At 53.2% G+C, this 26,442-nt stretch overlaps 1 protein-coding gene across 23 annotated transcripts in view, besides 4 other annotated features; it reads left to right on the top strand.

Moving 5' to 3' along the window:
- The window catches only part of PRKAG2 (protein kinase AMP-activated non-catalytic subunit gamma 2), a 320,989-nt gene that overhangs the window by 142,024 nt on the left and 152,523 nt on the right, over positions 1 to 26,442 (top strand). The gene's annotated exons all lie outside the window — the stretch shown is intronic.
- Positions 7,073 to 7,132: an enhancer, noted in NCBI's record as "active region_26869". NCBI's record gives its function as "activates an Ori minimal core promoter by ATAC-STARR-seq in GM12878 lymphoblastoid cells {active_cell/tissue: GM12878}" and the evidence as "EXISTENCE:reporter gene assay evidence [ECO:0000049][PMID:35858748]".
- Positions 7,604 to 8,467: an enhancer, noted in NCBI's record as "H3K27ac-H3K4me1 hESC enhancer chr7:151423711-151424574 (GRCh37/hg19 assembly coordinates)". NCBI's record gives its function as "activates a minimal SCP1, AML or CMV promoter by ChIP-STARR-seq in naive H9 embryonic stem cells {active_cell/tissue: H9 hESC(naive)}" and the evidence as "EXISTENCE:reporter gene assay evidence [ECO:0000049][PMID:30033119]".
- Positions 9,701 to 10,201: an enhancer, noted in NCBI's record as "H3K4me1 hESC enhancer chr7:151421977-151422477 (GRCh37/hg19 assembly coordinates)". NCBI's record gives its function as "activates a minimal SCP1, AML or CMV promoter by ChIP-STARR-seq in naive H9 embryonic stem cells {active_cell/tissue: H9 hESC(naive)}" and the evidence as "EXISTENCE:reporter gene assay evidence [ECO:0000049][PMID:30033119]".
- Positions 13,702 to 14,223: an enhancer, noted in NCBI's record as "H3K4me1 hESC enhancer chr7:151417955-151418476 (GRCh37/hg19 assembly coordinates)". NCBI's record gives its function as "activates a minimal SCP1, AML or CMV promoter by ChIP-STARR-seq in naive H9 embryonic stem cells {active_cell/tissue: H9 hESC(naive)}" and the evidence as "EXISTENCE:reporter gene assay evidence [ECO:0000049][PMID:30033119]".

Below are 26,442 nucleotides of genomic sequence, written 5' to 3'. Positions count from 1 at the left end.
CTGAGGTCAGGAGTTCGAGACCAGCCTGGCCAACATGGTGAAACCCTGTCTCTACTAAAAATACAAAAAATTAGCTGGGCGTGGTGGCGTGCGCATATAGTCCCAGCTACTCGGGAGGCTAAGACAGGAGAATCGCTTGAACCCAGGAGGCAGAGGTTGCAGTGAGCCCAGGTCACACCACTGCACTTCAGCCTGGGCGACAGAGCAAGACTCTGCCTCAAAAAAAAAAAAAAAAAAAAAAAAGAATCAGATTTAGGCTGGGCCTATAATCCCAGGACTTTGGGAGGCCAAGGAGGAAGGATCACTTGAACCCAGGAGTTTGAGACAAGCCTGGGCAACATAATGAGACCTTCTCTCTACAAAAAAATTTAAAAGTTAGCCGAGCATGGTGGCACATGCCTGTAGTCCCAGCTACTCAGGAGGCTGAGATGGGAGGCTCCCTTGAGCCCAGGAGGTCGAGGCTACAGTTAGTTGTGATTGGGCCACTACACTCCAGCCTGGGTGACAAAGCTAGACCCTATCTAAAAAAACAAATCAGAGTCAGCGCATTGCCAGCGTTACTGCTTGCATGGCATAGGTTATTCCTGAAGAGCCCACTGCAAGATGGAACAGCAGGACCCCTACCCCAGTGCTGTTATTTATCAGCTGAGTTTCACCAGGGCTGGGGAGACACAGCCTAGGGGATGAGTAAAATGAGGAGCCTGGGGGGTGTATGAAGCCATGTCCCCTGACCGGAATGTGATGTGTTAAGTGGAAAAATATTGTCATTATGTGTAACAGGGAGGTGACTTTGGCAAAATGTCTGAACTGTAAATGAAAACTGGAAGAGCAGAAAAAGAAAAAGGTAAATCTAAAATCTGCCTGTATTTCTTGCTATATCCGCTTTGGGCAGCTCTCCTGGAAGCGTCTGCAGGCTCAGATTGTGCTGAGTCCTCGGGGGAGAGCAGGTGAAGGAGACAGCAGTCCTTGAACCCAGAGAGTGTTCAATCTTGTGAAGAAGAAAGCCCCATAAAGAGAACTAGAGAGCGGCGTCTAATCGAGTAGAGTTCCAGCTACTCAGGAGGCTAAGGTTGGGGGATCACTTGTAGGTGAATGTAGGCCAGGTGCGGTGGCTCAAGCCTGCATTCCCAGCACTTTGGGAGGTTGAGGTGGGAGGACTGCTTGAGCCTAGGAGTTCGAGACCAGCCTGGGCAACATCATGAGACCCCTCTCTACAAAAAAATAAAAAATTAGCCAGGCATGGTGGTGCACACCCATGGTCCCAGCTACTCAGAAAGCTGAAGTGGGAAGATCGCTTGAGCCTGGGAGGGGAGGCTGCAGTGATCTCTGATCACATCACTGTACTCCAGGCTGGGAGTCAGCGCAAGACCCTCAAAAAAAAAAAAATGGTGACTGTGCACGGGAATAGGACACCCAGCCCTGAGCAGGGAGAGGAGGGATGGAATCCTAGACGGGAGACTCACTAACACGGTCTAAAAAGATGACTTTTATTTAAGTAATAAAGTAATAAACACTTATCTACTGTAGAATTAAACCAGAACCTATTATTAACTAAAAATCTGGTTTTGCTAATGGGGATGGACAGGCCCATTATTAAGAGCCTATTATGTGCCAGACAGTGGCTTCCCGCCTTGTGTTTAACGGTTGGCTGTCATCCTGTCTCCTACGCTTCTGACATCAAAAACAATGTTTACATCTCAACCAAGTTTTGTAAGAGCCTGGATGCAGATGCAAGCTCTGACCACAGGGTCAAGAAAATCGGAGGTCCCTCCAGAGCCTTCCTCTGGAATTTGGGAAACAGCAAGAGGCCATAGCCCCTGCTCAGGCTAAGGCTCCTCTTAGTGGGCTGGAGCCCAGGGACCTGGGTTGATAGTATGTCTGACTTTGGTTAGTGTGTCAGTGAGAAGAGCCAAGAGCTAGGCTGGGTGGGAGGCGGGAGCCCTGTGCCCCACAGACAGTGTTGGGCGTGGATACACTGAGTGAGGAAAAACAGTCCAAGAGTGTTGACCAAGCCCTCCCTCCCAAGCCTGTGCCTGTCTAAACCTTACCCATTTCTCAAGACCCAGCTGAACGATCACTGTCTAGAAAACCACCCTGAGGGCCTGGCACGGTGGCTCACACCTGTAATCCCAGCACTTCAGGAGGCTGAGGCAGGTGGATCACCTGAGGTCAGGAGTTTGAGACCAGCCTGGTCAACATGATGAAACCTTGTCTCTACTAAAAATGCAAAAATTGGCCGGGGGTGTTAGCAGGTGCCTGTAATCCCAGCTGCTCGGGAGGCTGAGACAGGAGAATTGCTGAAACCCGGGAGGAGGAGGTTGCAGTGAGCCAAGATTATGCCATTGCACTCTAGCCTGGGTGACAACAGTGAGACTCCGTCTCAAAGAAAAACCACTCTGGGTGCCTTTTCTGTGATCTGGCTGCTTGTGAACAGGGGCGATATCTCAGGAGCACGGTCTGTAGCTCTAACCCTAGGTCTTGCAGCATCGCAGGTTCTCCATAAAAACCGCTGGCTCTGCGATAGCTGGAAAACGTTCCAGCCCAGGGTTGCTCCCTGTTCTCCAAGAAGGATTGCTTCAGGGTTTTGTGTTTTAAATTCCCTCTCAGCAACGCCCTCTCCTTCATACAGTTATTCCCGGAGATAGAATCTCAGGGCTGGGTTCGGTGGCTCATGCCTGTCATCCCAGCACTTTGGGAGGCGGAGGTACGTGGCTCGTTTGAGTCCAGGAGTTTGGGACCAGCCTGGACAATGTGGTAAAACCCCATCTCTATGAAAAATACAACAATTAGCCAGGCGTGGTGGTGCATGTCGGTAGTCCCAGCTAATTGGAAGGCTGAGTTGGGAGGATTGCTTAAGCCTGGGGAGGTCAAGGCTGCAATGAGCCGTGATCATGCCACTGCACTCCCGCCTGGGTGACAGAACTAGACCCTGTCTCAAAAAAAAAAAAAAAAAAAAAAGCCAGGTGCTGTGGCTCATGCCTGTGATCCAACACTTTGGTAGGTTGAGGCAGGTAGAGGAGTGCTTGAGCCCAGGAGTTTGAGACCAACTTGGGCAACATGGCAAAACTCCTTCTCTACAAAAAATAGTTAGTTGGGTGTGGTTGTGTGCACCTGTAGTCCCAGCTACTGGGGAGGCTAAGGTGGGAGGATCACTTGAGCCCACAAGGCAGAGGTTGAAGTGAGCCAAGATTATACCACTGCACTCCAGCCTGGGAGACAGAGTGAGACACTGTCTCAAAAGACAAACAAAAATCTTAGATGAGGCCTCTTCTCCCTGAGAAAGCTTCTGTGAGGGTCATGAAATCCCTGTCATTGACTTCTCCTCCCTCCTCTCCACAGGAAGCCCACCTAGGCTGTTGGCACAGGTCCCTCCCATCCACTGGGTTTCCTCTGTGGCTGTGTCAGTCTTTTCCAGGAACCACGGGCTCCTCTGCCTTAACTCAGCATGGAGCTGCTTCCCCAGGGACAAGGTGCACACTGTTTATCTGGGGGCTTCCCTGCAGTTCCCCGGGTCAAGAGATACACACTCGCACACACATGTCATGTACCTGTGCGCACACACACACACAGAGCTCTCCCCACAGCCATCAAATCAAGGCCCTGCAGCCCCCGGAATCACCAGGTCCATTCGTAATTGCGGTGGATGGCATTTCCACTGGAAAGCCTGTGGCTGTCGCTGGAAATGTTCACCCGCTGGCCTTGTGACAGAGCCCCCTGGAAGCTCTGACTCAGGAGTGCTCAGCCCTTACCCCTCTCTGGCTGCAGAGCCAGGCAGGGAGGCCATGTCTGGCACAGAAGGGAAGCTCCCCACCTCTCCAGCTTTCAGGCTCCAGGCGCTAGACAAGTGACGAGCTTGGCTAAGCCTTTCTTTCGGCCTCTTTGGCAAAGAGAAATCCAGATTATGTCGACAAAGGGTATGTGGCAACAATAATAAAAATGTAGAGGGAAGATTAGGAAAGGATTATGCTAATCAGATCAAAGAGCAATGACTGTAGTAGCGCTTTCACCCTCTGCAATTACAGGGCAGTAATTAAATAAAAACCATTTAGCGTCTTAAGGGCTCATTTCTGAGGCCAGCACTGGAGCCAGGAGTCCAAGCGGTGTGTCAGGAAGCTGGTGTTTCATCCTTGTGTGCCCAGGGTCCCAGTAAGACCGGAGACCACATCCTCTGAGGACGCTTGGCCCTTATACCCACCTCCCCTTCCATGAGCCCACACCGCATGACTACGCAACGGCTTCTTGCCCAGAACGCCAGCATCCTTCCTGGCCCATGAACATTCAGGTCACCCCAATACTGCGTGCCATGGCTCTCCTGCCCTTGGCTGAGTATGGCCCTGTGGGGACCATCTTGTGCTCTTCACTTCAGCAGAGGGATAGGGCTGAGAAGTCAAGCCTGTGGTCTCTCCCGCCCCCATCCAGCCCCCCTGCTCCTCCTCACCCCTCATAGTCCTCACACTGCCTCTGGCGCCCATCTGCTGGCCTGGCTGCTGGTATCACTATTGGTTTTGCCCTGAAATTTCCCAATATATATGTTTGCCTTTTTCCAATAGAAATTTTCTTTTTATTTTACTTTTTAAATTTGTTTTTAAAAAGAGACGGGGTTTCCCTATGTTGCCCAGGGTGGTCTCGAACTCCTGGGCTCAAGCGATCCTCCACGTTGGCTTCCCAAAGTGCTAGGATGACAGATGTGAGCCACCACACCTGGCCAGAAATTTTCGAAAGAATACAGAAGTAGGGAGAACAGTATAACAGCATCTGTCTTCCAGGGTTAACAATGACAGGTTCTGTCATTCTCACCTGCATCCTCAGGGTCTTTGTGCTGGCCTCTGTTCCCACACTAGGGACAGCAGTGAGTGAGAGATGCATGCACCCTCGGGGCCACACGGCCTGGTGAGAGTGGGTAGATGAATGAGGGGATTTTAATTGTGGTCAGATGTACATAATACAAATTTACCATCTTCACCATTTCACGTATGCATTCCCATTATTGTGTAGGCATTACCACCTGCCATGTCCTCCATCACTCACAGCTGAAACTGTCTCTTCTAAGCCCTAACTCCCCACTCCCCTGACCCCAGCCCCTGGCAAACACCATTCTACTTTCTACGAATGTGATAACTCCAGGGACCTCCTAGAAATAGAATCACGTAGTGTTTGTCCTTTTGCGTCTGCCTTGTTTCGATGGCAAACGTATTTTCATCACCAGGTCAGGTGGTGGTGATGCCGTGGAGGCAGGGCGAGGGGTCGGTTCAGTGGGTGATGGGGAGAGGGCTGTGTGGATGCCTGTGCTCAGACCCTTCCGAGAGCTGGAGAGGCCAGGCCCCAGAAGGGAGCCTGCGGTGTGTTCTAGGGACTCCGAGAGGCCTGCGGGGCTGGACGGCAGCAGGCAGAGCCACAGGAGCCGGTCTCTGGCAGGTAGGAGATGAGGCTGAGGCTGGGCACAGCAGCCAGTGTATGCCCCTCTTGTGGACCGTGGGAGGGCTCTGGATCACACCTGCTTGAGATGAAGGCCCTCGGGGGTCTTGAGCACCGATGGGCTAAGGACTGGCCTGCCCAAGTGGAGTGCGGACAGAGCTGGGGCTGAGCCCACTATTAAGAGCCTATTATGTGCCAGACAGCTGGGGCTGAGGCTGTCCCTCCCCCAACCCCTCTGGCTCCAAGGCCCTCCCCGGCCCCCACCCACCTCTCCTTTTGCCAGTTCCCACCCAAAACCGTCCAGCCCTGGTGCCCATTGTTCTGCTGGATGTGTCCAAACAGAAGACTCCTAGGGGTGCGGCATCCTTGTTTGTGAGGATGGGTCTTTGGGGGGTTTCGGACACTGTAGCCAGTGAGTAGAAGCATTTGGGATGATGGGACAGTGTTCACACAATTTGAGAACTCTCCACTCCCAGCCGTGGATTTGGTGAGGCCCGCCCGCCACCCCCTGTCCGCCCCACTCTCATCCATGCCTGGAAAAGCTCATAACCCATCTGCCTGTTCTCCCTACGTCACTGTCACCAAGCGCTGCCTGGTGGAACCCTGGACAAGTGGCCCAGCTCTCCCAGAGGTGCTGCTCCCCGAGGACTCCCGGAGTCACTCAGCAGGCCAGGCGGCTGTCACCTCACAGGGTGGCAGGGTAGCAAAGCAGCTCTGGTGCGTGTCCTTGGATGTCACGGTCAAGTGCCCCTTTCCCTTTTCTGACCCCATCCCAGTCACCCAGAGCTGCTGCTCTAAGTCAGGAAGACTAAATCCCCAGGAACAGGTGAGCATCGCCTGTGGACGGGGCTGGGCGCTGGTGGGGTGTCAGCGAGGTGCGTGCTCTCCCAGGGGCGCTCATCAGGGCTGTGAGAGGTGAGCTGTCGTGACAGTGGCGTGGCTCTGGGAGCAGCCGCCCTCTGGAGAGCCCGGGTTCCCAGCAGAGAAGCTGAACACTGGACAAACAATTCCAGGACTGCAGCGTCTGAAAGTGTCCGAAGACGAAAGGGAAAGATTTCAGAGCCTGAAGGGGTAAATAATGAAGCAGGGAGAAAGGAGATTCAAAAGGGGGTGTATTTTTAAAATAGTGACTCTGGACGGTGACAGAGAAGCCACCACAGCTTGGTGACCTGGGGTTGGGGCCGCAGCCTGGCTGGGTGCTGGCCAGCCCCTGCTGCTCTGTCACCCCCATCCTGTGAGACAGGACCTCACTCAGGGCTTGTGCGTGGGTCCAGGGAGCCTTGGCACCCAAGGATGGTCACCCGGGGTTCCAATTTCCAGATGAGAGTGAGCACTTGGTACATTCAGAGAGCAAGATGAATTCTGCCCTGCGGTAATAATTTGTCTTTTAGCGATTGAGAAGAAAAAAATAGGCAAAGTCCAGGTGCTCTCAGCGTAAATCAACATGAACGTTCCCTGAGGGCCAAGGCAGTCTCTGGTGCTGCTGTGTGTTCTTGGGGCCCTGGGGACTGCTGGCCTCCGGGTGTCTCATGACAGTGGTGCTGGTTGGGGTGCAAGTCCCCAGGAGGTGGCGTCTCCCCTCCCGGTCAGGCCCGTGGTCAAACACTCTGCTGGGCCTGGAGGGATCCACGGAGGACGGGCCCCCGGAGCTGAGCAGCGCAGTGGCCTCTGGAAAGCAGGCTGCTGGGGGAGTGTCCGGGCGTCCGCCCCAGGGCCCTGAGGCTAAGAGCATGACTGCAGGAGGAGGAAGGTGGGGCTCAAAGCAGACCCAGGAGGAAGTTTTGATGACTCACATCACTAAGATGCTTGGCTGGGCCCCACTTTTGGCTGGAAGAGATGACACATCAGCTAATGCTAGTGAGTTCATCAATGAACAGCACCTGAACGCTGACCCGGCTGCCCTGCGCCTCCCAGGGGATACAGGGCCTGAAGGCCCCTCCTCCCTCCCTCCCTCCCTCCTTCTCGCTCCTGGGCCTGGCCAGCCCTGTTTTGATCACAGAACAGCTAAGGCTGATGGAAAGGGAGTGGCTGCAGTCTGGAGTGACCTCTGAGCAGCTGTGGCCAGTGACCCTGAGGAGGGATGTCCAGTTGGCAGCACAGAAAAAAGGAGCAAACCCCTGCGTCTCCAGGCAGGCACCCGTGCGCCAGCCTGCAGGGTGATCAGCCTCAGTTTCCTAGCCCTTCCAGAGTCCCTGCCCAGGGGCACCCCAGCTCTGGTCTCCTGCTGCCCCAGCCTGCCTTCCTCCCCACGGGGCTCCCGTGGCTGCTGGTGGCTCACCTGGGGTCCTCCCCACCTCGATGGCTGGATGCCTCTGCCCCTGCACTCATTACAGCCTGGAGGGGCGTAGGGCCCTGCCTCCTCCTGGAGGTCCCAGTCCCCCACAGGCAGGTCTGCCTCAAAGCCCACCAACACCAAATACCATTGAGTATCGGTTTTGTTTTGTTTTTTGTTTTTTTTTTTGAGACTGAGTTTTGCTCTCGTTGCCCAGGCTGGAGTGCAATGACGCAATCTTGGCTCACTGTAACCTCCGCCTGCTGGGTTCAAGAGATTCTCCTACCTCAGCTTCCTGAGTAGGTGGGATTACAGGCGCATACCACCATGCCCAGCTAATTTTGTATTTTTAGTAGAGGCGGGGTTTCACTATGTTGGTCAGACTGGTCTTGAATTCCTGACCTCAGGTGATCCGCCCGCCTTGGCCTCCCAAAGCGCTGGGATTACAGGTGTGAGCCACCGCGCCCAGCCAGTATCACCTTTTTGATACTTGACTAACAATGCTGTGCTAACTTCTAAAAATGTTTAAGGCAAAGTTTGCTAAAGTGTAAGCATATGGAGAAGAGCACAGATCATAGATGACGAATTTGCACAAACTGAACACCCTTGTGTAGCCAGCACCCCAGAAGCTCCCCATACTCTCTCCCAGCTACTTCCCCTCAAGATTGGCATCGTCTGGTTTTGAATTTACACGATTTTTTTTTGGTCTGGCTTCTTTCACTTGCACTTTGTGAGATGCAGCCGTGCCTGCGTGCGGCGTTGAAGTTCATCAACTCCATTTCATTGCTGCAGAACCCTCCGCTGTCTGCCCAGACAACGACTCCTGCGTCCGTCCAGTTGTTAATGGACACCGTGGTTTCCAGTCGGGGCTGTGACAGAGTGCTCTCATGGGCACTCTTGTGCGTTGGTGTGCCTTTCTGTTGGACTCGTACTAAGATTACTGGTAGTAGGGTACGCACGCAGCCATAGTAAATAATGTGGCATCAGCTCTGTGTGTGTGTGCGTGTGTGTGTGTGTGTGTGTGTGTGTGTGTCCTGCCTCCCTGGTGATTCTGTAAGCAGGTGCTGTGTCTTCACTTCCCCAGGCTTCCTAACCTGGCGCCCTGCATGCCAGCTCTCTTCTGCCACCATCCGGCTCTGCGCACACGCAGGTGCTTTGCCTCACCTGGTAGTTGAGGCTCAGCATGCATTTCTGCTGAAGCCCTCGGTTCCTCTGATGGGCAGTCCCCAGCGCCCCATGTCCTGAGCTGCTTCCCCACTAGCAGGACTTAGATGCTGCCTGTGAAGGACACACCATGAAGATAGCAGGTGGGACCCCTGTGGAGAGGGAGCACCATCTCTGAGGCTGCCTGCTTCCTCGGGCTCAGCCTTGGGATTTATTCATGACTGGGAACTGTAGCAGGACCTGGTTTGTAACCACCAGCTGTCGCTATAGCAACTCCTTATACCAGCCTCTACACTAAAAATAGATCACCTTCATCCCTAGGATAGAAAAATCAAAGAAAATCAAAGTGGGGGAGGGCCCAACCTGCTCAGCCACCGGGATTTCGAGGTGCAGTGACATAGCTCCTCTCGGCCTCTTTCTTCTCCCACCAGTGGCAGAAAGGGCACAGGCAGGGTGCAGACCAGCCCCTGTGCAGCCCTGGGGGCCCCGGGTGCTGAGGTCTTCCCCACACTTCAAGTCTTATCTGTCTTCTCCTGTCTGGTATGAACTGTCTGTATATAATTGAATACAAATTATAAATAATTGTATTTTTGCCTAGGTTTTATTTGGTTTCTTGATATTAGCTCTTCTGTGGAATGGTAAAGTGCCACCACACCCAGCCTGGCTCTTTTTTTTTTTTTCTTCACTGCGGTAAATATGCATAACATAAAATTTACCAATGTACCCATCTTTAGGTGTACAGCTCAGTAGCATTAAGTACACGCACGTGGCTGTGCAGCCAGCCATCCATCTCCGGAACCCTTTTCATCCTGAAGCACTTAAACTCTGGCCCATCAACCCTGACTCCCCATGCTCCTCCCCAGCCCCTGGAGGCCACCCTTCTACTTCCTGTCTCTATGCATTGATGACTCCAGGGACCTCTCGTCAGCGGAATCAGACAGTATTTGTTTGTGACTGGCCTGTTTCCCTCAAGCATCATGTCCACACAGATGTCCTTCGTGTGTGTGGGTGGCGGGTGGCAGGATCCCCCTCTTTTTTAAGGCTGAGTAATATTCTGCTGTGCATGTGGACCCCATTTTGTTCATGCGTCGATGGACACGTGGGTTGCTTCTCGCCTGCTCTTTGTATCATCACACGGTAGGGGGATCACAGGCCCTTTGAGGCAGGGCCGACCTCGCTCCTGTTGGCCCGTGAAGGGGCAGGAGTACTCACGTCAGGCGCGGTGAAAGGGGTCGATGCATCCACAGGCCAGGGTTGGGAGGCCTCTCCTGGACTCACGGCCACAGTGGCAGCCTCCTTGGGCACCGAGGAGGAGCTGGGACGCACTGAGCAGCCCCGCCACGCCCCGGGTCCCCACTGTCGGAGTTTCTGAAGGTAGAAATCTAGGCTCGGGGGGTGCTTTCTGGTGCCGGTGCCACCCTCTGTTCCACTGTCACTCCCGAGGCCTCTGCAAGTCGGCACTTGGAGCCCTAGCAGGAGGGAGCGTGGCGCGGAGAGCCGCACTTGTGGGGCGGGCAAGCGGCTGCTCCGGCTAGGGAGTGTGCAAGCTCTGGAATCCTGCGCAGGGTCCGAGAGCACAGGGTCCTTTGAAAAGAGGGAAGCAAGGGTGCCCAAAGCCCGGGAAGTGCCGGGAGGGAGCGCCTGGGAGGGCGACGACGGGACCTGGAGACAAGTGAGCCAGCACCAGCTCTACCCTCCAAGGGCCCGCGCAGAAGTTCCCATCCTCGGGCTCTGAGCAGCATGGCCTGTGGGAACCTCCCTGCCTTGGGAAGTCACCAGTCACCCCCTTCCTCAGGAGGGGAGGACGGGAGCAGGTGCAACCTCTGAGGGACAGCAGGGCCGACAGACTCTGTGGAGATGCCCATCCCTGGGCTTGCTGAGAGGATGACAAAGGGGCTGGGAGCTGGAAGAGCCCTGCAGTCTGTCTGGCTGTGTCTGTGAAAGGGCCCTGTATGCAAAGCGACCCCCAAATGCAGAAAGAGCCCAGAAACCAAAGAACAAGACAGACAAATCCAGTGTGTTGTTATAGGGTGATTTTATTGGGGGAACTTACGGGCAGAAGTGTAGTCTTGGGCAACCACAAGACAGGTAGGTCCCCACCAGCACCCCCCGGACCCAGGGCTTCTATACATAGGGCAAAGGTATGGTGCTCCAGAGGGAAGGTGTAGGAATATGCCTAAGGGCAGGATTTACCGTGGAGTTTATCAAGGTTGATTTGCCGTAAGGGCAGGATTTATGACAAGTACTTGCTCTTACACAGAACAGTAGATCAGCTGGAACCGGGGTTGATCAGAAGCCGAGGTGGAGGATTTGCTCCCAAGATGGAGCTGCTTCAGGCTTCACGGGCGGGTTGGCTGAAACATGGACCCAAAGGTGGCCCATGCTGAACGGAGTTGAAACACCAGAAACGCCTGCGTCTGCTGCAGAGGGAGGCATCATGGCTCAGGGAGACTGGAGAGGATTTGCCAGTTGAGACCAACTCACCTGCCACTCACACACCTTTCACCAAGACTGTGGTGAGGGAGCCCAGCGCCCTTGAAGAGCTCCCTGTAGGTTGGAAATCACAGGGGGACCTACTGCCACTGACCAGGGATCCTAAATGAAGTGGGAGTATCTGGGTCCCAGCATGGCAGGGGCCAAGTGGAAACAATCACCAAAGGCAAGGCAGGTGCGGCCCATCGGCGAAAGCAGAGGCCAAGCAGCCATCAGGACCGTCAGACTCAACTCCTTGGGGTGGGCCGCGTGACCTAGGGCGTGGGCCAGTTCGCCACCATGTTCTTAGAAGTGAAATGGATGGGAAGCCTACTACATTCTAACTCGATCTGTATAAGTAGAAGTGTAGGCCAAGTGAACAAAAGTCTAGCTCGAATGCGTCATGGTCCTTCAATCAATTCTTAGGCTTGAGCCAGTTTCCAGACCCAGAACTCTTTGAGTGGAGGGGGAGGCTGGGTCCCCTTGAAGAAGGACTCCACTGCACTACCAAAAATGTATACTATTAACCTCTCTCCCGTTCTTCCCCAAAGGGACTTATGGCTTTTACCAGGGCAACTGGGCATTAGGGAAAGGGTATTGGAGGTGACAGAACACTGATTCTAAACTGACATTCAGCCCAGGAGATGCACAACGTCACTGTGGTCCACCTCTCAGAGCCGGGGCTGTGGACACAGAAAGAGATGGTGACTAGCATAGAATTTCTCCAGTTCTCCTGCGGTGGAGGGGAGGAGTGGGCAGGCTGCAGGGGATGTCTTTCCTGTCTGCAGCCTTCCGTTTTCCACTTTTTGGGAGGCAGAGACCTAAGAAAAGAGGAGCCAAGGATGTGGTTGTGGGGCTGGGGTGCTCAGAAATGGGGAGCAGCTGGAGGATTAAAAGGCCTCTGGGGCAGGGAAGAATGTCCTTTAATGGGGACCTGCCGGGCCTGTGCCTATCTAATCAGTTTTGCTGTGTGTTAGTAGCACATCCATAATAAGAAGTGCCTGTGACAGCCGGGACTGGGAATCGGTGTTGAGCTGTTGGCTGATGGTGGGGAGGCGGCGGTGCACACTCTCGGCTTCCCTTGCACACGAACCTCGCAGAGCATGGGGCTGCATGTCCGTGTGTCCCCACGGGAGTCTCATGGCATTTCTGGAGAATAGACAGGATCCTACCCCCGCCACTCACCTGCTAAAGTCTAGCATTCCTTTATCAAAGCCGAGCCCTTCTTTCCTCAGTGAGAGATGAGCTCCACGAGGAGACCCCTGGGGAGGGAGCTGGGGTAAGTGATGGTAGTCCTTTCGCTGGAAGTTTTGATGCCAAGAGTAGGAGAGGAAAGGATGCCAATGGCAAGACATCCTTGGCTGAAAGATGGCTGCTTTCACCCATCCTAATGTTTGTAAACTTATTTACCCTTTTCCTAAGGTGAGGTTGGCAGGCAGTGCCATGTCAAGCAGGTAACGAACTAACGCTCCCCTGAACATAGCTCGTCAGGAGGAAGGGTGCTAGGAAAACCAGACTGCAATGGGCTGAACCCCTTTTATAAGATAGCAAAGTCTTGGTCACATCTGAGTCTACACCTGCATTGTAAAGAATGTCTCTGGGGGTAAATGAGAGAGCCAACTAATGAGAAATACGGGTTACAGGCTCACTGTGCTGTGGGCACTAGGAGCTATGCCAGGAGGATTCTACAACATCCATCATATTCACATGCAGGAAACAATAGCCAGCTCACCCACAAGACAGAATGCCACAGCCACGCTTGAGGAATTCTGCAAGGTGATTGTGTGGGAAGGAGTAGTCAGGGTGGGCTGCATGGAGGAGGTGGCCTTGAACTGGGCCTCGAGGGAGTAGCAGGGTTGGGATAGGCAGATAAGGGGAAAGAATCTAGGACAAGGAGTATGTGTAGTGTTTGTACAGAGTCACCATGGGAACTAAGGGACCTGGGTCAGAGAGGAATGGTAAGGCCAGATAACGTCTATGAAAGCAAACATAATTGGCTGGTACATGCTTGATGGGACGTTGGCCTGACACTGTGAATATCCGAGGCCAAAACATCTGTCTTCTCCAGACAAACTAAATCTCTACTCAGATTTTAGAGGGGCCTACCCTGCTGCTCCCTGGCCAACAGGGTAGAATGTCCTTGACTGCCCCAGGGGGTCCTAGCATATGTCCCCCACTGTCACGGGCAGGCCTGGAGGGGGACATTAGGTGACCATGGGGCAGAGGGGTGGCACGCCTCCTGTGGGAGGTGGCTGGTCACCCTCGGTTCTGCATGAGAGGCCTTGGAGGGAGGACGTGCTCTGGGGAGCCAGGCCCTCAGGCACCCCAGCTGGGCCCCATAGCGCTGTGCTGGCCTCGGCCCCGGCCCTGGCCCCGGCCCTGGCCCTGGCCCTGTCTTCAGCCCTTTCCTGTTGGCATTAGAGCTCCAGTTGTAGGCAGAAGGCAGCTCCAGAGTGACCGAGGAGATGGCAGAGGAAGCAGGAAGGGGCATTTTCGAGATGCAGAGAGGGGACAGGACCCCCGCTTCAGGATGCAGGATGGGTGGCTGCAGGGATGGGACCCCAGAAAAGCCTGAGTGCTGGGCGGCTGCAGGGTTCTGGCTCCCATGCCTGGGTAGGTGGCCAGGCTGCCCCATCCAGCCCTCTGACATCCTCTATCCTTCTGTCCCCCTCTGCCCTCTGTGTCCCCTCCATCCCCTCTGCCCCCTTCATGCCCCTCCACCCTGGTCTGTCCTTTTTCACCCCCCTCTGTTCTTCATTCTCCTCCATTCCCTCCATCCCCTCTGCCTGCTCCATCTCCTTCTGTTCCTTCTGCCCTTATTACCCCGCTCCATCCCTCTCCATCCCCCTCCATTCCCCCCACCACTACCCTCTGTCCCCAACCATCCCCTCTGACCCTCTCCCTCCCGTTCCATTCTCCTCCATGCCCTTCTGTCCCCTCTATCCCCTCCAAACCCTCCATTGCCCTCTCTCCCCTCAATCCCCTGTCCCCCTCCATCCCTTTCCATCCCTCTGCCCCCTTCATCCCCCTCCATCCCCTCCATTCTCTCTGTCCTCCTTTATCCCCCTCTGTCCCCATCCATCCCCTCCATCCCCCTCCATCCCCTCCATTCTCTCCTCCTTCATCCCCCTCTGTCCCCCTCTGCCATTTCTGCTCATCTGGACGGGCTCTGGAGCCCTGCATGCATTTTCTAGAGCTTGACGGTGCTTTGTTTTCAAAACAGAGGCTGTCAGTGCTTGACTTCAGGGTGTCAAGGTCTGTTCTATCTATTTTAAGAAAATTGTTTTCCACAAATAGCAGTAAGAACACAGTCTGTGTTACACCCACAGAGATTTAATTGCCTATAGACCGACCTCCTGAGCTAGCAGCCTCCACCCTTTCTGGAAAGGGCCATGGTCTTGCTGTATTAGGTAGACTCTCCTATCTAGGGTGCTTTTGGGGCTGGAAGTAACAGAAACTCAAACGCGAACTGGCTTGAACAACAATGCTTGTCCCAGACCAGCAAGTCTGTGTTCTTTCTCTCTGTGTCCATCTGGGCTTCCACTACCTTTCCTTGTGGTCACAAACGGCTGTCTGCAGCCACTGGAGGAGTTTGTAGGTTTATGATCTGGAGGGAGAGAAAGAAGAAAGGGCATTTCCCCCTACTGTGGAATGAGGGCCCTTCCCTGATTCTGATTGGACCATCTTGGAAGGGCTCGCCCCTGGGCCAGTGCTAGTGGCCAGGCCTCACCCTGACCTAAGCACATCCCCTGGGGGTGCTCACAGACCTGGAGGAGCCCAGGACTGGGCCAGAGCTGCCCCTGGTCTGGACCTGGGCAGAGCAAGCACAGCCAATTGGGAGAGTTCCATGGGAAGGTGCAGATTGAATGTGGCGGCCTCAGTGAAATAACAGAACTACCTCAGTAGGCACAGGGGCCAGGGAAGGCGTTACTTGGAGCCCCAACTTACAGGCTGCCTGGCAAACTCAGGGGGAGGAGGGGCAGGCTCCAGTTTCTTGTTGAGAACAGATCAGGGTGCCAGGCCCACATAGGCTCTGGGAAGCCAGGTGGGAGTGACAGTGCCCATCGCAAGACAGTGGTGCTGTGGGCGGGACCCAGGCAGGAATGCAGGTCCCTTGAGAGGCAGGTGCCAGGACAGGACTCAACACACACCAGACTCACTGGGGGAACTGCCCGGGAAGGATGAGGGTAGGAGGCAGAAGACAGGGGGCATCTTCTTTCTGACCCCTGCGGCCACGGTGGCAGGGAAGATTGGACAGCGAGAGTCTCAGGGTGACCCAGCACCCGGCGCTTAGGCATTGGCTGGGAGCAGCCCAGGGCAGGGGCTGAGGGTGCTGGCGGGTTTGGGGTGGGTTGGGAGCATGGTCTCTGTGTGAAGGGGGAAGCGGAAGTTATAGCCCAGCTCCCCCAGCAGGAGGCCTGAGCGGTGGGTCTCTGTGACTACCTCCTTCATAAAGTCCCACTTGCCCAAGAACTTGTATGATAAGTTGGACCAGGGCTGAGCGTGCCGGGGCCGGGAAGCATGTTGCAGAGACCGGGAGTGGGGCAGGACCTCTCTCCCTTCTGCCATGGGGCTTTCTGTCTGCACTTCCACTGCTTCCACCGCTGAGCTGGTTGCAAGATACATCTCGTCTCCCGGAGCAACGCTCGGGGAACAGGGTGGCACACGTCTCCTTCAGTCCCCTCCATTTCCCTGAGTTCGGGGCCTTGTACTTATCAGGGGCTTAATGAATGTTTGTGGGTGGGTTGGAAAGTCTGAGCACAGAGAGAACAGGAATCATCTGAGTCTAAGAAACTACTTGGCAAGATGCAGGCTGGCACCCTCAGGAACACAGGGAAACAGGCAGCCCTTTAGGTCTCAGAGGCCGATGCTGAAGAGAGATGAAGCCAGTTCTTGAACAGAAGGGCCAGGGGAGGTGGGCAGACCTGCCTTCTGGTTTGGTGGACAAGAATGAGAGAATCCCATTGAGCCGTCATCTTTGGACTCCATGGAAGGGGTCCCTCCAGTCAGCTACGGGCCCAGAGATTCATTCTGGCTGGTTGTAGTGGATCCCAAAAATGTATTAAAAGCAGTGAATAGCTCACAGAGTCCCCAGGATGCAAAAAAAACCTGGGTTTTTTTGTTTGTTTTGTTTTTGGGTTTTTTTTTTTTTTTTTGCATCCTGGGGACTTCATGAGCTACTCAGCACTTTTACTGGGGACTTTGGTGGGTTTCCGAGAGGAGCCCACCATGACTTACAGAGCGGGGACACGGAGGCCCACGTGGCACTGGGCACAGCCACCATGACCTGCATGCAGCTGGAGGACTCGTGCCGTGCTGTGGACCAGATCGTGTCCCCCGAATTCATACGTTGAAGCCCTGACCCTCGATGTGGCTTATTTGGAGATAGGGCTTTGAGGAGGTAATTAAGGGTAAATAAAGTCATAAGGGTGGGGCTGTAAGCTGATAGGACTGTGGCCTTACAAGAAGAGGAAGAGCTCTACCCCCCCCTCCACCCACCACCATGGGAAGGCGGCTGTCTGCAAGCCAGGAAGAGGGTCCTCACCAGAAACCAACAGGGCTGGCACCGTGACCTTGGGCTTTCCAGCCCCCAGAACCGTAAGAAAATCAACTTCTGTTACGTAAGCCACCCCATCTATGTGCTCTGTTCTGCCAGCCCAAGATGACTAAGATAGTGTCTGCTCTGGAAGGCAGGACCTCCTGCCTGGCATCTGCTTCCATGTAGCAGAAGCTGAGTCTGGCCCAGGACGACCCTCACATCAGAGCCCCTTCCCCCCACTCCCAAGGTCAGGCATAGAGGAGGTGTAAAAAGATGCTGCGTGGGCAGAAAGAATGACAAGCACCTACCCATGCAGGGATAGTGAATTTGAGGCAGGTCCCCAGCAAGGTCAAGGCCAGCTCCTTTCTCATGAGGAGATGCTTTCCTGGTGGGTCCCCAAGGCTCAGGGTGGCTCATCAACTTTATAGGCTGAAAAACCCCACTATTTTCAGCACACCAAGAACAGATTTATTACCTGGTTCACAGAAACTTAGCCAGATCCAAAGCTTTTTCATCCCAGTTGGCAGGCATAGTAGGCAAATACGTGGGTGGGCATGGCTACTCACACATGCCAGGCCCTCCCCATCCTGTTGGCAGGGCCACACGGGAGCCAGTCCAGAGCTGCTGAGTGGTCACTGTACCAGCCGGTGAGTCTGGGGCCGGGGCAGCCCTTCTCTTAAAAGGCATCTGGAGCCACCTGTTTTCTGCCCTTTCCTTGGGACACCACCCTTCTGCCATTCTCTTCACCTGGCGTTTCTCCAGAAAGTTCCTGCATATGAAATTCAAGTCAAATATTATTCTTGCCTCCCTGCAAATGACCCCAGTCACCTTGAGTGGAGTTCTAGGTGTTTCCAAATTCTTTAACCATGTAATTACAGTCTCTTGGGTAACTCTCGTCAATGACTGATTGCACCCTCTTTTTATGCGATTTTACAGCTTTATGAAGGCAACCTCTTTCCTTCTTTTTTTTTTTTTTTCTTTTTGACATGGGGTCTCGGTCTGTTGCCCAGGCTGGAATGCAATGTCACGATCTCAGCTCACTGCAACCTCCACCTCCCGGGCTTAAGCAATTCTCCTGCCTCAACCTTCCGAGTAGCTGGGATTACAGGCATGCGTCACCCAACTCGACTAATTTTTATACTTTTAGTAGAGACAGGGTTTTGCCATGTTGGCCAGGCTGGTCTCGAACTCCTGACCTCAAGTGATCCACCCACCTTGGCCTCCCAAAGTGCTGGGATTACAGGCGTGAGCCACCACACCCGGCCCACCTCTTTCCCTCTTTTGTTGCCTCGAATTTTTGTGGGGCAAGTCGCCACTGCTCCCCTTCCTGCCAACACTCATTTCCCTAAAACGCTCTGGAAGCTGAAGGTGCGGGGTGTGTACCCATCTCTGCTCCACGCGGGCTTGGGGGCTGGAGCAGCTGCGTGGCTCAGGCCTACGTGCTTTCTGCAGGGCTCTGTGTTTCAGACGCTGTTTCCTTTCAGGAATTCAAAACACTGACTGCTAATTTCACTGGTCCCCGTTCTTTGCAGAATGAGTTTATATGAAGTCCCATTCTTAGGTTGATTATGTCTAAGCCTCAGTTTCCACCTCTACAGAATGGGGCAACAGTGTCCCATACCCTCCTTCCTAAGGGATTATTATGCACCTGTTAAGTGCAAGGCTGGGCGGGGTTCTGTGCGTGTCAAGCATGGGAACAAGTATGTAGCTGGCTGGCTGCCCTTTGAGCCTGGAGTGGTGAGGCCAGGACTTGTGGATCCAAGCCCTGCCTGGACAAGGTGGGCTTGCTCTGTTGGGAGTCCACATACGGACCCCTGCCCAGCCCCTGCTTCTCTAACAGGTGCCCAGGGTCACAAAGGGGGCTTGAACACAAAGCATTTTCACCCGATGGAGGTCTCTATCCATTCACTTGGCAAACATTTGCCTGACATGTCATAATCAACACTTTCACACTCGGCCTCCTCTAATCTCCGGTTTTCTTAAAGGCCAAGGGCACCTCAGGTTCAGCACCACATCTGACCCATGGGGCTGACATCAGCCTGTGAACTTCCTGATTTGTGTATAGTTGTAAATGTTTAAACTTCTTAAACTTGTATTAGGCAAATCTCCAGCACTTATCAAAGAGAAAAGAGCGTACTGAAGCCCTGTGTGTCCTCTGCTCAACCCCAGACTACAAACTCAAGGGCAATCGAGCTCCATCCCTGCACACACCCACCTCCCCTGCCCCTTGGATTATTTTGAAGCAAATCCAAGACATATCATTTCATCTATAAATATATAAAAGTGCCTCTCGAAAATCCTTCCTGGAAGCCTAAGATGCCGTGAGATGGGACCGCCGCCCTGTGAGCGAGGAGAGTGGAGTCCCGCACCAAGGCTCCTTGCCCCGCCCCGCCCTCTCTCCTGCCTTTGCCTTTCGCCTTGAGCACCTGTTTTCTGTGGTCTTGGCTTTCCTGTTCGCTGCCTCCCTGGCATGATCTTTAATTCTTCAGCCTTCCCCCTATCTTTCTCTTCTTCCACTCCATCCTCCCTTTCTAGATCACAACTCAAATTGGAATTTTTAAAAAATTTGCTTTTGGCCAGGCACGGTGGCTCACGCTTGTAATCGCAGCACTTTGGGAGGCCGAGGCAGGTGGATTACCCAAGGTCAGGAGTTCGAGACCAGCCTGACCAATATGGTGAAACCCCGTCTCTACTAAAAATACAAAAAAATTAGCTGGGCATGGTAGTGTGTGCCTGTAGTCCCAGCAACTTGGGAGGCTGAGACAGGAGAATTGCTGAGACAGGAGAATTGGAAGTGGAGGTTGCAGTGAGCTGAGATTGTGCCACTGCACTCCAGCCTGGGCAACAGACAGGAACTCTGTCTCAAAAAAAATAATAATAATTTTTTTTTTTTTTTTTTTTTTTTTTGCTTTTAGGCCAGGTGCAGTGGCTCATGCCGGTAATCCCAGCACTTTGGGAGGCTGAAGTGGGTGGCTCACCTGAGGTTAGGAGTTCGAGACCAGCCTGGCCAACACGGCGAAACCCCGTCTCTACTAAAAATACAAAAGTTAGTTGGGCATGGTGGCACGCACCTGTAATCCCAGCTACTTTGGAGGCTGAGGCAGGAGAATCACTTGAACCTAGGAGGCGGAGGTTGCAGTGAGTCGGGATCACACCAGTGCACTCCAGCCTGGGCAACAAGAGCGAAACTCCATCTCAAAAAAAAAAAAAAATTGCTTTTAATTGGGTAGAATTTAACATCACATATTCTTATTTATTTTTTCTTATTTATTATTTTTTTGAGATGGAGTCTCGCTCTGTTGCCCAGGCTGGAGTGCAGTGGCACGATCTTGGCTCACTGCAACCTCCACCTCCTGGGTTCAAGCGATTCTCCTGCCTCAGCCTCCCGAGTAGCTGGGATTACAGGTGTGTGCCATCACACCTGGCTGATTTTTGTATTTTTAGTAGAGATGAGGTTTCGCCATGTTGTCCAGGCTGGTCTCAACCTCCCAACCTCAGGTGATCCACTTGCCCGAGCCTCCCAAAGTGCTGGGATTACAGACATGAGCTACTGCGCCCGGCCCACTTATTCTTAATTTAGAAGTAGATGTTTAACAATTTATTTCACTTTTCTTTATAATGAAAGGAAACTTGCTTTTTACTAGAGTAGTTTTTTTCTCTGTTCACCAATGGCCCTGAACAGATACACGAAGGGCAAGGCCACCAGGGAGAGGTGGCAGGGTGTGGATGGGAGGACGTGGTGCGTGGATGGGAGGATGGCGGCATGTGGATGGGAGGACGGCGGGTCGCGGATGGGAGGACGGCTCTCCGGGAAGCCCTGCCGCCTCTCCACCTAGGCACGGCGGGGCGCGGATGGGAGGACGGCAGCGTGCGTGTGGGAGGATGGCAGGGCTGGGATGGGAGGACGGCTCTCTCGGAAGCCCTGCCGCCTCCCCCATACCTTGGCACACATTTTCCTCAAGGCTTAGAAGTCAAACGTAAGTTAGGCCGGTGAGTAACTGCATAGGATGTTTAATGAGCGCTGACTCTGTGCTAGGTGCTCTTCTTGTGAGATCTTGTTTATTCCCCATGACAACCCCGTAAAGCCCGTACTCCAATGGAGATCACCTGTTCAGCTACCTAGCTAGTAAGTGGCAGGGCTGGGACCCCAGCCCGAGTTATCTAACCGCTACCAGTGACCCCCCACACTTGACTGTCTGTGAGAATCCTTTGGGGGTATGTGCCGGTTCTTGGACTTGAACCCCCAAATTGTGATATATTTGATCTGGGGTGAGATCCAGGAAATTTGCATTTTTCATAAGACTTGTAGGTGATTTTGATGCATACGTCATGGTAGCTACATTTAAACACTGGGGGTCAGGTGCAGTGGCTCATGCCTGTAATCCTGGCACTTTGGGAGGCCGAGGTAGGAAGATCACTTCAGGCCAGAAGTTCAAGGCCAGCCTGGGCAACATAGACCCCTTCTCTATGAAACATTTAAAAATTAACTGGGTGTGGTGGCCTGCACCTGTAATCCCAGCTACTCAGGAAGCTGAGGCAGGAGGGTCACTTGAGCCTCCTGAGGTTGTAGTGAGCTGTGTTCGCACCACTGCACTCCGGCCTGGGCAACAGAGCGAGACTTTGTCTCAAAAAAAAAAAAAAAATTAAAAAAGCAAAAACACCATCCTCATGAGTTAATAGTTGTTGAAATGGCATGCTAGAAAAAATGGAGTTCATTATTCTGTTCTGTCTACTTTTACATATGTGTTTAAATTTTTCCATACTAAAAAAGTAAAAAAAGAAAATACTGCATTACATACATGTGTGAGCTGTGGTACCATATCCTTTTCAAAAACCGCTGATTCACAGCCTGGCTTGCAAGCCGGGGTGCGTCCTACAGCATCAGAATTAAACAAAAGGGTCTGCTTTGGGTGGGGGGAAAGATATCAGAGCAAAAGGAAACAAAGTCCACAATTCTCGCCATTCCCAGAAGACAGTGTGAGGGATGTAGATCTGCAAACTGCATATCCATTTTCTAAGATGTCAGGCTCAGAATTCCTTCTTCCATGACCCCCTGTCCTTCCGGGAGTTTTGCCCTTGAGTCTTCCTTCTCTGTTCACCATTTCCCGTCCCTCTGCCTCGATTTGACAGTGCCATACAGGAGAAATGGGAACTGCTTCAGCTCCGAGGAAGGGCCATCCACTGGGCATTTGTAGGGAAGCAGAGAGAATGCCCCAAACCAGCTCACGCCCCTCTGCTCTTGGCACGTTCCAAGCACACAGGGCTCTCCATGACAATCCTGTCTTTGCTTTGCATGCTGGGAAAGTGCTGAAAATATCCTGCACCCAAAATGAGTGATGGAAAACGGAATGAATTTGCATGGCCAGAGCATTTTCCCCTCTGAAGCATCAGGCTTTGTGTAAATCTCCACGAGGCCTCAGAACCTCTCCCAGGAAAGACAGAGATGGAGGCTGGAGAGGATTGTGGTGTGTTCCACACCCTCCCTCAGCACAGCGTGGCCCCGGGTGACTGAATGTGGTTATGGGGCACACTCATTTTGCTTACTCTGCATGCACTCCCTTTTTTGGCAACAGGAGCCTGATTGTGCCTGGGTGCCTCCTGGACCTGCAGCCCAGGAGCTGGTGTCCGAGGTCAGGCCAGTGGGCACCTCCCATCCCTGGGCTTGGCTCTGGCCGGGTGTCAGCTCATCAGGGCCAACAAGAGCAGATTTGTTTTGTTACATCAGTGGAGGAAGGGGACTTTCCCTTTCACAGTGGGCCAGAGCAAGGCCCCTGCAGGGCTGTCCCTGTGGTTACCATTAGCAGTCTCGTGGGTCCTGAGTGTAGAGTCACTGCCAGGGAGTGGAGGAGAGGGACCCAGTCTCCTGCGGTGGCCACCCCATCTGATTCTCCCTCCAGGCCACACAGGATGTCCAGGCTTTGGGTGCCAGGCCCCTTCCTGCTGAGCCAGCAGAGCGTCCTTCCCGGGTGAGTGAGCCTGAGCCCGTCCCATTGTTCACACTCCTCAGAGCTCTCAGAGGGTCGGGCGGAGGCTGGGTGCCAGGAGGGCACGTGAGGGTGGGGGCCACACTGAGCCGCCCAGTCATGTTACACCACGTGATGCACGTACGCGCCGCGGAGGAAGGCCTGGAGTCCCTGGTGGCACCTGACATTCTGCCGCCACTGCCTCCGGGCAGTCACACCCTGACATGGGATCTGTACACCTCCTCCATCACCCGAGACACAGCCCAGCCACCTGGGGCGCCTGGGAAACCCAGAGGAGGGCGGCTTCTGGGTGATGGTGCCAAACCCAGTCGGTGGCAGGCCACCAACACTGGACCTGTGTCCCCATGTCTAGAGTTAGCACCAGGCTGTGGCTAGGAAGAGTCCTGGGGTCCAAAGATTTCTAAATTGTAGAACTTGCATCTGAGTTGAGACAGGCTAGCGGCTCTCAGGAACCTGCATATCCGAGAGTAACCCTAACAAGTAGTTTAAACACTTCTGTGATGGAGAGCCTGTTCTCTTCCTCGTTCCTTCAACACATTTGATAAATATCTACAGGTTGCTTAACTTTCCTGTGCCTCAGTTTCACCATCCATAAAATGGGGATAATATTGCTGTCCTCCTTGGTGGATGGAGATTAAAGGAAGCAATAGATTTAAAGTGTTGAAATATATTAACCTATTTGAATATTAACTCTTTGACTATTTTCTGAAGTGCATACACTAAAGTGCTTAGTCATCACTGGTACTGTGATGCCTATTACTGTTACTACTAAGCCTAGCACTGTTAGTGCTCTAAGCTTAGCACTCTTAGTACTCTAAGCCTAGTACTCTTAGTACTCTAAGCTTAGCACCCTCAGTACTCTAGCCTAGCACTATTAGTACTCTCAGCCTAGCATCCTCAGTACTCTAAGCCTAGCACCCTCAGTACTCTAAACCTAGCACTCAGTACTCTCAGCCTAGCACTCAGTACTCTCAGCCTAGCACTCTTCATACTCTCAGCCTAGTACTCTTAGCACTTTAAGCCTAGCACTGTTGATCCTCTAAGCCTAGCACCCTCAGTTCTCTAAGCCTAGCACCCTCAGTACTCTCAGCTTAGCACTGTTTAGTACTCTCAGCCTAGCACTCAGCACTCTCAGCCTAGTACTGTTGATACTCTAGGCCTAGCACTGTTAGTACTCTAAGTCTAGCACTCTCAGTACTCTAAGCCTAGCACTCTTAGTACTCTAACCCTAGCATGTTAGTACTGTATTCCTAGCACTCGCAATACTCTAGGGCTAGTACTGCTGGTACCATATGCCTAGCACTGTTAGTACTTTGTAAGCCTAGCACTCTTAGTACTCTGGACCCAGCACTGCTGACACTCTCTGCCTACCACTATGAGTGCTCTGTGCCAAGCAATATTCTAGACTCTGCTGACACAGAGGTACAGAGAACAAAGTCCCTGGCTTCGTGGAGCCTATTTGCTTGTAGGGGCAAGCAGAGTGTGTTAGATGTCATGACATCTCCATGTGTGTATCTGGGCGGATAGTGACAAGTGAAGAGAGAAAAATGAAGCTGAATGAGCATGTGGCAAATGGGGGTGTGTGAGCGGTGCCCTCTTAGATGGTATGCTTAGGGAGGCCTCACTTTGGGTGGCTGCGCCCTGGGAGAGATGCAAGAGCAGGGAGAGGGCAGGGCTCCCGGGGAGGGGAGAACAGCACATGCACGGGCCCTGAAGGGGCTGCCCCTTGAGTCTTCCTCTAAGTGTGATGGGGTCACCGCAGAGCTTCGAGCAGAGGAGTGACGGGGTCTTCTCTTCCCACGAAGGTTCATGTGGCCTCAGTGTGGCAGCGGAGCAAAGGGGAGGGGAGTCTTTTGTGGTGGGGAGACTGGTGGGTGACCACTTGGTGTGCTGCCTCAGGGCGGGGGGCGAGAGCGAAGCCTCGGCAGCTGGGGGACAGGGGTGCCACGCACTGAGATAGAGACAGGCTGGGCGGGGCACGGGTGGCAGAAAGTCCCGGACTTAGAGTTCTGGTTTCAATCCTGAAGTGAGAGGTGCCTCCTGAGTCTCCACCTGCCTCTGCCATCTCTCTGCTGGTGCATCCAAGCCTCAGCTCAGGGGAGAGGCGGCTCCCAAAGGCCGGCCCTTCTGCTGAGGTGGCTGCTCCGACTTGGAACTGAGCTGAAGACACCAGTGCAGTTTCTATTCACTGGGCTCCGGCCACCCTTCTAGACTCGAGAGTGCTCCGTGGGGCTCTACTGTAAATGCTTTTCCTCCTGAAAGCCCTCTGGAAGGCGAAGTGGCCATTGAGTCCCCCAGGCACTCAGTGTCACACGTCACTCAGTGTCACAATATCACATGTCACTGTCACTGTCACATCACTCAATGTCAGTCTCACGTCACTCGTCACTGTCACTCAATGTCACACATCACTCACAGCATCACACATCACTGTCAATGTTACACATATCACTTCACATCACTCCGTGTCACAGTGTAAGAAACATCCAATATCACAATGTCTCACACTTCACTCAGTGTCACGCAATGTCACTTGTCAGTGTCAGTGTTATGTGTGTGTCACACAATGTCACATGTGTCATTCAGTGTCACATATATCATGTCACTGACAGTCACATGTGTCAGTGTCACTCGTCATTCAGTATCACATGTCACTGTCACACTCAATGTTACAGAATGTCACAAATATCAAAGTCACTCAATGTCACCATGTCACACAGGTCACTCAGTGTCAATCTCATGTCACAGACACATAATGTCACAGAATGTCACATCACTCAATGTCATCACTCAACATCACCAAGTGTCATGCAGGGTCACACAGTCACAAACAGCACTCAATATCACATCACTCAATGTCACTGTCATATAGTATACATCAATGTCACACATTGCATATCATTGTCACACGTCACTCAATGTCACACGTCATTGTCAGTGTCAATGTCATACAGTACCATACATCCCTCATCGTCACACAATGTCACACATTGTCACAAATCGATTTCACACAATGTCAGTGTCACAACACTGTGTCACACAATGTCATTCAGTTCATACATCGGTGTCACAGTGTCACTCAATGTCATACAGTTCACACATTGTTCATTGTCACAATATCACATACCATCATAAAATGTCATATCACTCAATATCACGTGTCAGTGTCACACACGTCACTCAATGTCATGCACTGTGACAGTGTCACAGTGTCACCATCGCCCATCACACAGTGTCACACAGTGTCATGGTTTCCGGCCCCTCTGCTTCTGGTATTCTCACAGAACTAGGTAGCTGGTCTGCTGGGCTCTGACGAGAGCAGTGGCGTGCCCTGGTGGCTTCCTTTCAGCTCTGTCCATGGGTGCCCCGAGCTGAACCTGTGCTGGGGTTTAGTGTCAGGTGGCAGCACCAGGCTGTTGGCTCACATGGAACTTAAAAGGCCCTGCCTCACCAAGGGCACTCCAGAGAGGCAGCTGCCGGCCACTGCACTTACCCAGTGACTTTGCTGTGCTCAAGTTCCCTGTGAATTGCTGGACATTTTACCTTTGTCATCCCCTCTGGTCACTGCCCACATTACATGGCTAACACGGGGTACG

The sequence above is a fragment of the Homo sapiens genome, chromosome 7, assembly GCF_000001405.40.
Source record: "Homo sapiens chromosome 7, GRCh38.p14 Primary Assembly".
Taxonomy (NCBI): Eukaryota; Metazoa; Chordata; class Mammalia; order Primates; family Hominidae; genus Homo; species Homo sapiens.
This window is presented reverse-complemented; position numbering and strand designations above follow the sequence as displayed.